The sequence below is a fragment of the Homo sapiens genome, chromosome 7, assembly GCF_000001405.40.
Source record: "Homo sapiens chromosome 7, GRCh38.p14 Primary Assembly".
Taxonomy (NCBI): domain Eukaryota; kingdom Metazoa; phylum Chordata; class Mammalia; order Primates; family Hominidae; genus Homo; species Homo sapiens.
In genome coordinates this window covers 151,938,787-151,955,038 of record NC_000007.14, presented here as the reverse complement: position 1 = coordinate 151,955,038, position 16,252 = coordinate 151,938,787, and the positions used below count along the sequence as shown (strand labels likewise).

The window sequence follows — 16,252 nt, the reverse complement described above, 5'->3', positions numbered from 1 at the left end:
TGACCTCCTGGGGCAGACGGACGGGCATTAATGACGTCCAAGCCAAACTCATGAGTCTCCTTTCTGCAGGCTCGATGGGAAGGTCCTTCTTGCCCATTAATAATATAAAAGTAAGCTTTTATTCATATTAGCCTCAAACTGGAAAAAACCCAAATGTCCATCTGTAGTAGAATGGACCCACTGTGGCATATTCATATAATGCAATGCAAACCAGCAGTGAAAAAGACCAGACTGCAGCTGCATACAACATGGATGCATCTCGCAGACATGGCGTGAGACCGAAGCAGCTCATGGGAGAGCGCGATTCTATTTCTGTGAAGTTTCTGCAGAACGAGGGCTTGCTGAGGTCACAACCCAAATTCCTACAGCATGTGGAAGGGAGCAAGAAAAGGCAAAGCTACTCTAAAGTGATAGAACAGTTTATCTATCTATCAGTAACAAGTAGCTGTGTTTGGGAGCCAGAACAGGATTGCTGGTTACTGAGAGGGAGCAAGAGAGAGCCTTTTGGAGTGCTGGAATGTTCTGGGTCTTCTTGATCTGGGGGAGTGAAGGCTTCACGGAGCCTACTTGTACAAACGTGCATTGGGCTGGTCACTGAAAGTGTATATACTTCACTGTATGTATGTCGTATCCTCAAAACACGAGGGAAAAAAAGTGAGTCAACACAACTTTTGGACAAAGATTTTATTGTGGGAGTTTTGCAACCATTACACAGTTTGCTTGGTGTAATAAAGTAAAATCTTTCTTTCTGAGAAAGGTGCACATATACCGTATTCAAGGACAATAGTTCAAATTGTGTTTATTTATTTATATTTTTATTTATATATTTGAGACAGAGTCTTGCTCTGTTGCCCAGGCTGGATCACACCACTGCTGGTGTGATCATGGCTCACTGCAGCCTTGACCTCTCAGGCTGAAGCAATCTTCCTGCCTCAACCTCTTAAGTGGCTGGGACTGCAGGAATGTGCCACCACACCCAGCTAATTTTTTTATTTTATATTAGTTTTCGTAAAGGCAAGACCTCGCTATGTTGCTCAGGCTGGTCTCGAATTCCTGGGCTCAAGCTATCCTCCCACCTTGGCCTCCCAAAGTGCTGCAATTACAGGCATGATCTACTGTGCCCGAACTTTTTTTGAGACAGAGTCTCACTCTGTCGCCCAGGCTGGAGTGCAGGGGCAAGATCTCAGTTCACTGCAAGCTCCGCCTCCCGGGTTCTTGCCATTCTCCTGCCTCAGCCTCTCAGGTAGCTGGGACTACAGGTGCACGCCACTGCGCTCAGCTAATTTTTGCATATTTAGTAGAGATGGGGTTTCGCCATGTTGGCCAGGCTGGTCTCGAACTCCTGACCTCGTGATCCACTCCCCTCAGCCTCAGTGCTGAGATTACAGGCATGAGCCACCTCACCCGGCCTGGAACTTTATTTTTTAATTGAGATATTACATCTCGTACAATTCACCTTTCATCCATTTTGTGGCATTTGTCAGTATTTCATTCCTTTTTATGCCTGAATAATGAGCTGTTGTTTGAAAATACCCCATTTTATTTATCTATTCATCAACTGGTGAATATTTAGCTGGTTTCCACTTTGGGGGTGTTATAAATAGTACTGCTATGAATATTCCTGTACACATTTCTGTGTGGACATAAGTTTTCAGTTCTCTTGAGTATACACATAGGAGTAGAGTTGCATGTGGTAACTCCAGGTTTAATTTTTTGAGTAATTGCCAGACTGTTTTATAAAGCAGCTACACCATAGAATTTTTATTTCCAAGATTTTTCCCAAGGGAAAGGAAAACGAGTCATGAACAGCCCTTCCTTAGGGCTTGCCCTACCGATTTCAGACTTGCCTTGCCAGCCCCTACCGTTGTGCACCAGCCAACTCCTGGCAATACATTTCTTCATGTGTTTCTCTTACTGGTTCTGTTTCTCAGGCTAACAAGCCCATACTCCTGTGTAACTGAACCCTTTTAAAAATTACAGAACCTAGAAAGTTCCTACACGGTCCTTCTCTGCTGTCAGTGCCCATTACCATCTGGCCCCAGAAGCAAGCACTATTCTGATTTTATTTACCATATATTAGTTTTGCCTGCTATAGAATTTCATGTAACTGAAAGGATATGATAAGTGGTAGGAAACCTTGTGTAAGGTTTCTTTCATTCAGCATAATATTTTTGAGACTTATTGTTTCATGTATCAGTAGTTTACTTTTTATTGGTGAGTAGATTTTTATCATTAAAATCATACCATACCATTTGTTTTTTCATTATTTTGGTCATGAATACCTGGGTAGTTTAGTTTGCTCAGGCTGCCATAACAAAGTACTAAAGGCTTGGTGGTTTAACAACCAAAATTAATTTTTTTTTTTTTTTTTTTTTTTTGTAGACAGAGTCTCTCGTTCTGTCACCCAGACTGGAGTGCAGAGGCGCGATCTCAGCTCACTGCAACCTCTGCCTTCTGGGTTCAAGCAATTCTTCTCCTTCAGCCTCCCGAGTAGCTGGGATTATAGACATGGGCAATCTTTGTATTTTTAGTAGAGATGGGGTTTCACCATGTTGGCCACCATGCCAGGCTGGTCTTGAACTCCTGACCTTATAATCTGCCCACCTTGGCCTCCTAAAGTGCTGGGATTACAGGCGTGAGTCATTGAACCTGGCCTGAAATTAATTTCTCATAGCTCTGGAGGCTACAAGTCCAAGATTAAGCTGCCAGTGGGGTTGGATTCCTCTGAGGACTCTCTCCTTGGCTTGCAGTTGGCCACCTTCTTGCTTTGTCCTCACATGCTCTTTCTTAGGTGTGCACACACCCGTGGGGTTCTCTCTCTGGGTGTTGTAATGTCCTCTTCTTAAAAGGGCACCAATCCGATTGTATTAAGGCTCACTCTAACAACCTCATTTTAACTTAACTGCCTCTTTAAAGGCCTTATCTTTAAACACAGTCAGTACCATTCTAAGGTACTAGGGGTCAGGATTTCAACATATGAATTTGAGGGGGATGCAATTCAGTTGATAGCACCACACTGTTTCCAGTTTGGAGCCTTTACGAATAAAGCTATTCTGAAATTCTCGTTCATGTTTTTATGGACTGACGCTTTCGGTTCTCTTGAGTAAACACCCAGGAGTGTTTAGTCTTTTAAGAAGTGGTCAGACCTTCTACTAAAGTGCTAGTGCCACGTGTGCTCCCATTTGGCGTTGTCACTCTTTTTAATTTTAGCTATAGACAGGCTGGCTATCCAGCAGCAATAGTGACTGAATCGGCCTTGGTGAGAGGGAGACCACGTTGTCGGGTTCATGAATGGTCTCTTCTTGTATAATCTGTTGCAGGAGCATTGCACCAGCACTGGTGACCAAGGAGAGGCTCAGGTGGACATTCTCTGATGAGCATTAACTCGAGGCACTATGGTGTGCTCAGTTTGTGCCACCAGCATGGGTCCATCCTCAGACTTCTTTGCCTCTGGTCTTTCCATCATCCTCTTTCCAATCTCCGGACTGAAAAGGGATAAGTAAGCTCCTTTCTTAGGCTTTCGTTGCCTCTGGTCTTTCCATTGTACTCTTTCCAATCCCAGGACATTTCCTACTGACCAAGGCTCCAGGTATCCTTGTACCTCAGGCCAACTCACCCTCTCAGGTGTATAACATTTCCCATCATTTGGTGGATTGTTGCTCTGCCCACCTGACCTTATCCCTCAGTGACTCTGATAAAACCCACCTTGTAATGGGCAGCTGTAGTCACACAGCCATTTGGTATCTAATGATCAGAAGCTCAGTGTCTATCAGGGTTCAAGCCAGGAGCTGTTTTTAGAGAGGCATATCCATGCTCTCAAACTCTAATAAGTCTGCAGAATAGCTCTCCTATGGGGCTTGCCAGAAACCACCTGCCACCCTGCAACAGTGTCCTCATTCATCACAGGTCCCTCTGGCACCATCCCATTTGCTGGGTCATGCAGCTGGAGTGGGAGGGCAACCTGTAGCCTGGATCTGTTGCAGAGCTTTCTCCTCTGAGCCTACCTGAAATTGGCAGCTTTTCAAGTTACTCCCAGAATGGGTTGGATCTGTACTCCTATGTGAAGTCTGTGCCACCTATAAAATCCAAAGAGGTTCACTCTATGCTGTGCCTTTTTCTTGGTAGGAGCCGCAAAGGGCAACAACTTGTCCTTTATCTTAGAATCGCTGTCTTGGCATGCCACAGACTACAGGACTTCTAAAAGCTTCAGTGTTGAAGCTCCTGAATCTTCATAGGGTGTATCTCCCATCTGGTGCACATGTGTCTTCCTGAGTGTCTTCCTACGGCACCAGGTCTAACTGATATGACAACATCAATATGGCGGAACAGCATGATGTGTGTGGAAGGTCTGGATGAGCACTGTACCTGCAGATCACATGTGACAGAGAGAAGAAGGTTACACAGCCTGGGGAAGTCTAGTGGATTGTGCCATCCCGACCACGTAAGGGCAGACTGTTTTATTGATGGGGATAAAGAAGAATGAATTTTCCAGAATAAGTGCTCCATACCAAGTGCCAAAGCCCACTGAAGACAGCACATCTACTACTGGGGCTACCACTTGATTAAGTTTAAGACAGTTACTGTCATTTGCTACGGTCCAGTTGATTTTGATAGGGGCCCTACAGGGATGGTGAATGGGGATATGACGGGACCACTACTCCTGCATCTTTTAAGTCTTTGATGGTGTTGATCTCTGCAACTGTTCCTGGAATGTGGTGGTTTTTGCTTCTGATTTACTGTCTTGGAAGGGTGTGCAAGGAGTGGGGATGGGAAGTTTCAGGGGCTTCCTCTTGGCTGACTCTTCTGTAATGATCCTTCTTACACAGGTGAGGGAACCAATTTAAAGATTCTACCAATCGCTAGGTATGTCTATCCAAATTATACACTTAGGGACCAGAGAAATAACTGCAGAGAAGATCCGTGGGCCCATCAACTCACTGTCATTCAAACTTAGGTAAAACGCCATTTATCACCTGGCCACTTCAAGTCCCCACTCTAATAGGGGCTTGTGATGCTGTTTCAGATCCTCTGAAATCAGGACTAGACATCACATCTAACAGTTCCTGGTGGACCCACGACTAACCATTTTTTCCCTTTTTATCCCCCCAGAACAGAAGAACTTGATATATCTAACCTCTTTTTTTTTTTCTTTTTGAGATGGATTTCATTCTTGTTGCCCAGGCTGGAGTGCAATGGCGTGATCTTGGCTCACCATAACCTCTGCCTCCCAGGTTCAAGTGATTCTCCTGCCTCAGCCTCCCCAGTAGCTGGGATTACTGGCGTCTGCCACCATGCCCAGCTATTTTTTTGTACTTTTACTAGAGACAGGGTTTCACCATGTTGGCCAGCCTGGTCTTGAACTCCTGACCTCAGGTGATCCACCCGCCTTGGCCTCCCAAAGTGCTGGGATTACAGGAATGAGCCACCAGGCCCGGCGCCTAACCATTTTTGAAAAGTCAGGGTATTCCCTTTTTTTCCAAGGCACAGTCAAACTGACAAATGGCTGAAGGCTCTTTTGGGGAAGGGCTGGGCACTATGTACTGTATGTACTGTGTGGCCGTGTCTCTCGTGCTGTGGATATCACACCAGATGGCAAGTCAGGACTCCTGTGCTGCTCCATTTCTGGCCTCGGTTGCCTCACTTGTCAAAGGAGGATGTTTTCAGACATACTCTTTGGGTCCCTCGGGATTGGCCTGGGTGCTTCTGGGTCCTGGGAGTGGGGTGGGTCGTACTCCTCTTTCAGCCGGAACATCTCTGCCTTTATCTGTTTTACATATGGGGCTTCCACTTAAGATTTCATATGAGGAAAAATTTCTCAGCTAAAAAGCCATCTGCAGAGCCGGGGAACTACATGATCTCATTCAGCCTTAATAACGTGAGCAAATGTAACCCCTTCTGGGCCTGAGCTTCTGATCTCTAAGAAGGGATAATAGTATTGACTTCCCAGGTGCTTGTACAGATGGAGAGTTTAGAGAAGTCTTCAGGCATGCTGTAACTCTTAGAAAACCTGCAAGAGAGGAGCTGGTGAACAATCTGGAGGGGGCTGTGTAAGAAAATTGAACCACTGTCTTTTCAGGGAGACCCTAGGACAGGCCTGTCACACTGTGTACCTGCTATTATGTGGAGCTGTTATAATTTAAATGTGCTGCCAGTTAACTGCAAAACCAGTAACAACTGATGGTCTGTCCTCCCTATCAGCCTGTGAGCTCTTGGAGGGAAGGGACTGTGGTGTTCATCATTGTATTTTTTGAAATTCTGACCCAGAGCCGGGAATCCTGAACTGAATCATGAAAACAGCAGTGTGATTGGAAGTTGCAGACATCCACTCCCACACCTGCAGAGAAAGGGTGCCAAAGAACCCACGGTACCGGGTTGCCCCTTTCCTTGCACGGGAGCAGGACAGGTGGCCACCCCTTTTGAGGAATGGCCAGGGTGAATTAGCTGTGTGGCCTTCTCTCAGCATTCCCTACAGAGCCAATTTCAGCGGGCCTTTCAGATAATTATCATAAAGAGAACTTTGAGGATACTATCAAGATAGTTAGCAAGTAAAAGTACTGTAGGAGATTCCACACACACACTCACACACACTCATACATATACACACATACACACATACACATTCACACACACTCATACACACATACATACACACACATTCGCTCACACACTCATACACACATACACATACATACACACACATTTGGACACACACTCGTACACACACATACACATACACACATTCACATACACATATACTCGTACACTCATTCACACACACTCATACACATATACACACATACATTCACACACACATACACATACAAACTCATACTCACACATTCACACACACATACATACACACATTACACGCATACACATACACACATATTCACATACACATACACACATTCACACACACCCACCCTCATACACATATACACACATACATGCATACAATACACATACACTCACACACACTCACACACTTGCAATCACACACATACACACTCACACACACATACACTCACACACTTACACACATTCACTCTCACACACAGTCACACACACACTCACAGAGAGAGAGAAGGGAGAGAGGAGAAGCCCATAGCGTTTTTCCTGCCGATACTGGTTGCATTTCATTCTTCTAGGTATCATCTTGTTATGGGCTGAACCGTTTCCCCCACAGAACTCATATGTTGAAGTCCTAACTCCCAGTACCTCAGAATGTGACTGTGTTTGGAAACAGGGTCTTGAAAGAGACAATTAAAATGAGACCAAATGAGTGGGCCCTGACCCAACATGACTGGTGTCCTTAGAAGAAGAGATCAGGACACAGACACACACAGAGGGACGACCCTGTGAGGACACAGGGAGAAGATGGCATCTACAAGCCATGGAGACAGGCATCAGAAGAAGCTGAACCCGCGGAGGCCTTGATCTTGGAGCTGCGGCCTCCAGAGCTGTGAGAGGATAAGTTTCTGCTGTTTAAGCCCCAGTCTGAGGTCTTTATTATGGCAGCCTGAGCTGCCCGATGCACATCTCTGTTGCAGAAACATGTCTTCTCACATGCAGCTGCTCAACAGAGCTGCATTCAAGAATAATACTTTAGTAGAATACAAGGAACAACATGATGGGATGGGGAGGACCAGGGTTGTGGAAGAGAACGCTGGCTGTTCCTCCTACTCGATTCTCCTCTTCTCTCCTCCAAGCTGGGCATATGCTCCCCCTGTTTCAGCTGGTGGTGACCATGACTACCATCTCTTCCATAGCAGGTGAGCAAAAGTGACCTGCACCACTGCCAGGCCTGACCCAAAAGCCTCCCCAGAGGTTCCTTCTATGTTCTTCCTGGGGTGATGACAATCAACACAACATTGGAAACCACGTGTTCAAGATGGCAGAGCCACCATCAGCCTGGTTCCTGAATGACCACGTGGAGCAACATGGAATATCCAAGTGAGCAAGAAATAGAGTCTTATCTTCTTGCTTCATTATATTTCGGATATTCTTGAAAAGGGGTTCAGCCTACCCCAAATACAAGAGACATGAAAGAAAAGGATAAAGATGAAAAATAAGTGAATGGTGTCAAGTGAAATAAACAATGTAACACTGAGAACAAGCTAGATATTCAGTATTTTTCTGTGATATAAAGGACGTATGAGATGTGGATGCTGCCCAGGTATTGCTAAAGGGTTACTGGGAAGCTAGAATAACCACATGAAGGAATTAGGGGAAGATACAAGATTAAAAGTGTTGAATTACATGGTACAGACTTGAGCTGCTACAGCCTGGTGTCAAGGAAAGAACACTGGACCAATGTCAGGGGATGTAGTTGCCAGAATCAATTCATAAGGGGAAAGGATAATGTTTAAAAAAGGCATAGCCCCGGAGTGTGATGTTCCCCTTCCTGTGTCCAAGTGTTCTCATTGTTCAATTCCCACCTATGAGTGAGAACATGCGGTGTTTGGTTTTTTGTCCTTGCGATAGTTTGCTGATAATGATGGTTTCCAGCTTCATCCATGTCCCTACCTGTTGTGGGGTTGGGGGAAGGGGGAGGGATAGCATTAGGAGATATACCTAATGTAAATGACGAGTTAATGGGTGCAGCACACCAACATGGCACATGTATACATATGTAACAAACCTGTATGTTGTGCACATGTACCCTAAAACTTAAAGTATAATAATAATAATAAATAAAATAAAATATAAACGTAAAAAAATAAAAATAAAAAAAGGCATAGCATAAAGTCATGACACAAAGCAGGTAGCTGGCAGGAGCTTAAGGGAGGAAGTTGGGAAGAGAAAGATAAAAGTTATAGAGGGCAGGGAAGGTGGCAGAGAGTAGGTAGAAGTAAACCATGGAGGTCAGTTCTGCGGTAGTGACCACAAAGCCTGGAAATTTCCTCGTAGCTAAAAGAGGATTAGGAAGAGGACACTGTACATTTTCTCTCCAATTAGTAGGCGAGTTCCATCCTAGCCAATTCTAACGTAACAATTACGGAGAGAAACAAAGCACCCATGAGCTTTATTCTCAGGTTGAGAAGGAAAAGGAAACAGATCAAACTTCAAAATGTGAGCCAGGAAAGCCGTCTCTGGTCTTGTGTCTCCTGAGGAAGAAAAGCAACACTTAGAAGAAAGGGCAGAGAAGCAGAAAAGGGGATGCACGCTGAAGGAAAGCAGGCAAAGTTCCAGGCCAGCCTGGGCAACATAGTGAGATATTGTCCCTACAAAAAATACAAACAATTAGCCAGGCATGGTGGTGTGCACTTGTAGTTCCAGCTACTCAGGAGGCTGAGATGGGAGGATGGCTTGAGCCTGGGAGATCCAGGCTGCAGTAAGCTGTGATTGCGCCACTGCACTCCTGCCTGGGTGGTAGAGCAAGACCCTGTCAAAAAGAAAAAAAAAAAGAAAAGAAAAGAAAAAGAAAGAAAGAAAGAAGGAGAGAAAGCAGGAAAAAACACTTAGGAATAAGATTTGCCCATTTTTGCAAACCATCCCACCCATTTTTGAGAGTTGGTAGCTCTCAGAGGGCAGAACCCCAGGCTTGTGTCTCGTCTTCCCACGTGAAATGAGACATACAAGGAGAACGCCCCCGCCATGGTGATAAGCAGAGGCTGGAGCAGTGCGTCTACAAGCCACAGAGCACCACGCGTGGCTGGCAACACCAGGAGCTAGAAGCGGCGAGGAAGGATTTTCCACTGAGTCTCAGAGAAGCACAGCCCCGCTGACACCTTGGTGTCAACTCCTGGCTTCTGGAACTGAGAGAAGATAAATTTCTGTAGTTTTAAGACATGTTCTATGACACACTCGTGGTATATGACAGGTGCTAACAGGCACTTGCTAGATACATTCTCACATAATTATGATGCTTAGAGCAAGACAACAGAATTGGTAAACAATGTCAAATGTGACTATCTATAGGGAAAAAAAGAAAAACCAAAGTGGGGAGGAGGGAAAAAAGGGAATTAAAAGTTACTAAAGTGGACTTACTTCCTGACTCCCTCCAACCACTATGGGCTCATCTATGCAAAAATTCCAGTGCATTCTGTCTGATTCTGCTGTAGTGGGAAAGGCCTGCAGACCTTCTTATGTTCCCAACACACCCTTCTGACCTCCAAGTTCCTCTGTATCTTAGTCGTCAACCTTCCCAACCCATGTTCTTTTTTGTCTTAAAACCCCTTCAGAAGAATCCAGTTCCCGTCCACTCTGGGTACCCAGCCATCCATCATGTGGGATCTGATCATCTCAGAGTACAAGCAATGTTTTCCCCAATAACCATGTAGTAAACTTTCTCCATGGAGGTGGGCTGTTATCTCAGGAAACTCACCAACTGGGTTGTAATTTCAGAGGCTTTCATTAGAAATTAAGGGCTTACCGGCGGGGCGCGGTGGCTCATGCCTGTAATCCCAGCACTTTGGGAGGCTGAGGTGGGCGGATCACGAGGTCAGGAGATCGAGACCGTCCTGGCTAACACGGTGAAGCCCCGTCTCTACTAAAAATACAAAAAATTAGCCGGGCGTGGTAGCGGGCGCCTGTAGTCCCAGCTACTTGGGAGGCTGAGGCAGGAGGATGGCGTGAACCCGGGAGGCGGAGCTTGCAGTGAGTCGAGATCGCACCACTGCACTCCGGCCTGGGCGAAAGAGCGACACTCTGTCTCAAACAAAAAAAAAAAAAAAAAAAAAGGAAAGAAAAGAAATTAAGCGCTTACCATCTCAAAGCGTGGGCCCGGGGCTGGGGCTGTGGGGCTGGGGAGGAGGGGGAATCTATAATAAGTGTCAGGCAGAGGACTTCCCTTGGCTAATATCCAGGGAGGATCATCTTATTCGATAGACCACATGCTGATTGCTTCTATTCCAAACCAGAAAAAGCAAAATGTGAATCTTTTGCGGAAGGGGGAAGATGCTGTTTTCATCTTTAAGTACATTCTGTGTGATACCCGGTTGCACTAGCTAATGGCACGGTGTGCCGAGCCCTGTGTTAGGCTAGGACACAGGAAGAGAGTCCACAGTCCTCTTCTACAGCTGCCTACGTCTTCAAAAGGGCAAGAGATGTTTTTTCAAGGCAAATTCTTTGGTTCAATTCCCATGGATGGATTTGATCAAAAGAGGTCAGTTTCCCTAGATAATTCATACAAAATTCTTTTTTTTTTTTTTTGCGGTAGATGTTAATCAGTGGCCTCGAGTGAATGATCAGTTTTGTCTGCAATTAGTAAAAAACTAGCAAACTCTGGTTATGGGATGGAAAGAACATCTGCTGAACGAAGATACTCTAAATTTGAAAGTTAGAAAAACCCTAGGGCCCCAGGTTAGTTATTCAAAATGTGAATCATGTGATGAGAAGCAGTCCATTTGGAAACTTTTGATGTTGATAGCTTAGTTCATGAGCCAAATAGTCATCTTTTCAGGCAACATTGTGAGAAATCAGACAAATGAAGAAAGTGGAGGAAAGTGATATGTACATTCTTGGGGATTGTTCTCAAAATGAAATGTATTTAAAGCAAACAGGATCTCAGCTACTGGGAGCTGGTCTGGTGGGATGTGGCCAAATAGAATTCCAATGAACCCAAGAGGTCTTCTATATCTTTGACCATTGTGTTGCTTTTGTCTGCTTTGATGCAATCTCCATGGAAGCTGAGATGAATCTCCATCCTCCACGGACATTTTTCTAAAATAATCACAATGTCATTTTTTCTTGAATCTTCTGTAGCTTTCCCTTAAAATAACACAAAATCCAAGCTGGAAGAGTCACTGGGGACCATGATCAGTAATTGACTTCCCCTGGTCAGTAACTCAGATATTCCTAATTATCGAATTATCAAATCTTAAAAATTAACTACATTGCCAGCAAGACTATCTCAGAACAACACTGACTGTCTTCCCAGGCCCAACCAATCCCTTTGACAGACTGATTGCCTCCGGGAAAGTCACACCTTGAGTTAAACAAACAAAACAGGTTAAGAATAGGCAGGGTGCGGTGGCTCACACCTGTAATCCCAGCACTTTGGGAGGCGGAGGCGGGTGGATCATGAGGTCAGGAGTTCAAGATCAGCCTGGCCAACATGGCAAAACCCCGTTTCTACTAAAATACAAAAATTAGCTGGGCATGGTGGTGCACACCTGTAATCCCAGTTACTTGGGAGGCTGAGGCAGGAGAATCATTTGAACCTGGGAGGTGGAGGTTGCAGTGAGCCAAGATCATGCCATTGCATTCCAGCATGGGTGGGTCGAAACTCTGTTTCAAAAAAAAAAAATAATAATGATAATAGAAGCAGCTAGCACAGGGGTTATTGAATGAGATGATCCTCTTTTTTCCCTCCTCCTTTCCTTCTTCCCCTCCTTTCTCCTTTTCTTTCTCCCCCTTCCTTTTTCTCTTTTCATAAACATTCCATCCAGAGCCCAGTCTAGACAGGCTGCCCCAGTGTCACTACAAAATCTCCCTTCTCCATCATCCCCCTGCCTTTCTCCTGTGTCGTACTTCCTTTTGCACGTGTGTGTGTGTGCATGCGTGTGTGTGTGTGTGGTCTATTCCCTGTATCTTGGCTTCTACCTTTTAAGTTTACTCATTTGTTTCAGTGCAGCATCTACTCCAGAATTTTTCCAAGAAATGGGGATGGGAGGTATGGGCGCAAGAGTGACCTTATTTTACCACCTGGCTAAGCCCAAATCTGAGAATGGCTCCAAAATGTCGACTTGACGTGTTACTCTTTTTTTTTTTTCTGAGACAGAGTCTGGCTCTGTCGCCCAGGCTGGAGTGCAGTGGCGCGATCTCGGCTCACTGCAACCTCTGCCTCCCAGGTTCAAGTGATTTCCTGCCTCAGCCTCCCAAGTAGCTAGGATTACAGGTGTGTACTACCACGCCCGGCTAATTTTTGTATTTTTAGTAGAGACAGGGTTTCACCATGTTGGCCAAGCTGGTCTTGAACTCCTGACCTCAGGTGATCTGCCCACCTCAGCCTCCCAAAGTGCTGGAATTACAGGTGTGAGACAATGCGTTTGGCTGATGTGTTACTCTTTATGTAAGAACATCCACTCATTGTTAAGTTTCCTCCAAAGCAACTCTTGATTTTGTTGTAGAAATCATACGCTGTGATGCCCGAAGCACCTACATTTCCCCTGAGGTCTACTTTTGCCCTGGCTCTGGGGGGTTGCAGTGTGGAGATCTACCTGTTTTGCACTGCCCATGACCACGCTTCTGTCTGTTAGTTCCCCTAAGAAATCACCCCAAACTGACAAACTGGATTTGTGTGCCCCCTCCTTTGGTTTCTTGGCTCCTTCTGCATATGGGGGATGATTTGCACTTACAGCCCTCCCTATGGAACAGCAGGTAAGATATTTTAGATATTATAAGTCCTAAAACATCACTGACTGCCTAGCTGTAAAAGTCTTTGAATGATTTTTATTCAGTATTTGGGGGCCTTGCTCCAATAACTGCAAGTTCCTCCCTCCACACTGCTTCAGCCCCAGTCCTGTGTTCTGGGATCCTTGGCCCTTTGATTCTTGTCTCTTTTGGGGTGCAAGGAAAAGGTATCCACTAAGCTAATTCAAATAAAGGGGTGTATCTGCATGGGGTGGGGAGGTAGGAGGGTTCCTGAAGATAGCCAGCAAAATTGAGGCAGGAGAATAGGGTCTGGAGGCAGGGAACCTAGGCCGTTTCACGCTGACTTCCTGGAACTAGACTGAAAGGAAAACCCTCTTTCCATGCCTAAGTAACAAAAGGACCAGAGGCTACTCCCGTTGCAAACCCCCACCTTTTCTGTGCCCCGGAGATGGGAAATTGCAAGTACTTCTGATTGGTTGCTTTCTGCAACCAATCAGATGTTTGAAGAAGAGAGTAACTTTGTAGCTTCATTTCAGCCTCTGATTGGTTGCGGGCCACCTCTTCATTTACATGGGGTGAGCATGAAGTGTGGCCCATGGGAAAGCTCTACGGGGTATTTAGACCTGAGTAGATTCTCTATCCAGGGCCCTTGAACCACTGCTTGGACCCACTCCCACCCTGTGGTGTGTACTTTCCTTTTCAATAAGTCTCTGGTTTTGTTGCTTCATTCTTTCCTTGCTTTGTTTGTATGTTTTGTCCAATTCTTTGTTCAAAATGCCAAGAACCTGGACACCCTCCCCCAGTAACAAAATTATATTAAAAATCCAAGAGCAGAGCTGAGAAACACTGAAGTGGCCCAGGACTGGTGGCCGCTCTCCCAGCATCTCTTGAGTCTCCTCTCTGGGGCCCTGGCTTTCACCTCCCACAGCCCCCACTGGATGCTCCAGCGTGTGCCCACGCCCAGCGCCCCCCACTCCGCCCTGCACCCTCCCGGGCCCTCTTGCTCTGGCTCTCCCTCTTATCTTTCTTCCCTTCTAACTCACTAATCTAATTTTCAATTTGCCAAACAGATTCCCAATAAAAAAATCTTTCTGAGCTAGACAAGACAACTCCTCTGTTGCTGGCAGCCTCATCCATGGGCTGTCCTGAGTCCAGCTCCAGTACTTGGTCCAGGCTGCTCTGGCAGGGACCCAGCCATGAACGGATGCAAAGGAACATGGTTTTCATCTGCGCTTCTCTGATTTCGGATGAAGCTAAGCTTCTCTTCTTGTTTGGTGCTCTTTGGGGTGTCTTCTTCTATGAATTGCCTATCTACATCTTATCCCTTTTTCCACTTTCTGTCTTTTTCCTCTTGATTTGCATGAGTTCCTTGAATTTTCTAGGCACTAGTCCCTTGTCAGCTTTGGATATTGCAAGCGTGTTCTCCCATTCTGTCCTCTGTCTACAGGGATACCTCAGAGATGTTGTGGGTTCAGTCCAGATTACTGCAATAAGGCAAATATTGCAATAAAGTGAGTCACACATTTTTGTGGTTTCCCAGTGCATATAAAAGTTATGTTTCTATACTGTAGTCCATTTAGTGTGCAATAGCATTATGTATAAAATGTACTGTATTAATTAAAAATACTTTATTGCTAAACAATGGTAACAATTATCTGAGCCTTCATGGAGTTGTAATCTTCCTTTGGTGGAGGGTTTTGCCTCGATGTTGGTGGCTGCTGACTGATCAGGGTGGTGGTTCCTGAAGGTTGGGGTGGCTGTGGAATTTCTTAAAATAAGACAGTAATGAAGTTTGCTGTATCCATCGACTCTTCTTTTTTAATTTTTTTCTACCCCTGCCCTTCCCCTGACTCTTCCTTTCACAAAAAGATTTTTCTGTAGCATGTGATGCTGTTTGATAGAATTTTACCCAGAGTAGAACTTCTTTGAAAATTGGAGTCAGTCCTTTCAGACCTTGCCACTGCTTTGTCAGCTAAGCTTATGTAATATTCTAAATGCTTTGTTGTCGTTTTAACAGTGTTCATAGCTTCTTCATCAAGAGTAGTTTCCATGTCAAGAAACCACGTTCTTTGCTCATCCAAAAGAAGCAACTCCTCATCCTTTCAAGTTTGATCATGAAATTGCAGTTCAGTCCCATCTTCTATTTCTCTTGCATTTCCACCACATCTGCAGTGACTTCCTCCACTAAAGTCTTCAACCCCTCAAGGTCATCCATGAAGACTGGAATCAACTTCTTCCAAACTCCTCTTAATGTTATTATTTTGATCTCCTCCCATGAATCACGAATGTTTCTAATGGCATTTAGAATGGTGAATCCTTTCCAGACGTTTTCAATTTTCCTTGCCCAGATCCATCAGAGGAATCACTATCTATGGCAGTTATAGCCTTATTAAATCTATTTCTTAAATAATAAGACTTGAAAGTAGAAATTAGTCCTTGATCCATGGGCAGAGAATGGTGATCGTGTTAGCAGGCAGGGACACGACATTTATCTCCTAGCACATCTCCCTCAGAGCTTATAGGTGACCAAGTGCATTGTCAATGAGCAGTAATATTTTGAAAGGAATCTTTTCTTCTGAGCAGTAGGTCTCAACGGCGGGCTTAAAATATTCAGTAAACCATGCTGTAAGCAGTTGTGTAGTCATTCAGGCTTTGTTGTTCCATTTCTAGAGCACAGGCAGAATAGATTCAGCATAATTCTTAAGGACGCTAAGATTTTCAGAATGGCAAGTGAGCACTGGCTTCAGCTTAAAGACACCAGCTGCATCAGCCCCTAGCAAGAGAGTCAGCCTATCCTTTGAAGCTTTGAAGCCAGACATTGATGTCTTCTCTCTAGCTATGAAAAGTCTTAGATGGCATCTTCTTCCAATAGAAGACTGTTTAGTCTACATTGAAAATTTGTTGTTTAGTGCTCCTGTCTTCATCAATGATCTTA

The 16,252-nt window shown here is 44.9% G+C and overlaps 1 long non-coding RNA gene across 1 annotated transcript, besides 1 other annotated feature; it reads left to right on the top strand.

Annotated features, from left to right (window-relative positions):
• Positions 1 to 116: 116 nt before the first annotated feature.
• Positions 117 to 8,110, top strand: LOC105375570 (uncharacterized). Its single transcript, XR_007060597.1, has 3 exons — positions 117 to 654; positions 4,126 to 4,441; positions 7,770 to 8,110. It is a non-coding gene; the product is annotated as an uncharacterized LOC105375570 (long non-coding RNA).
• Positions 3,109 to 3,309: a silencer, noted in NCBI's record as "peak6850 fragment used in MPRA reporter construct". NCBI's record gives its function as "represses an SCP1 promoter by STARR-seq MPRAs in K562 erythroleukemia cells {active_cell/tissue: K562}" and the evidence as "EXISTENCE:reporter gene assay evidence [ECO:0000049][PMID:32103011]".
• Positions 8,111 to 16,252: the final 8,142 nt, after the last annotated feature.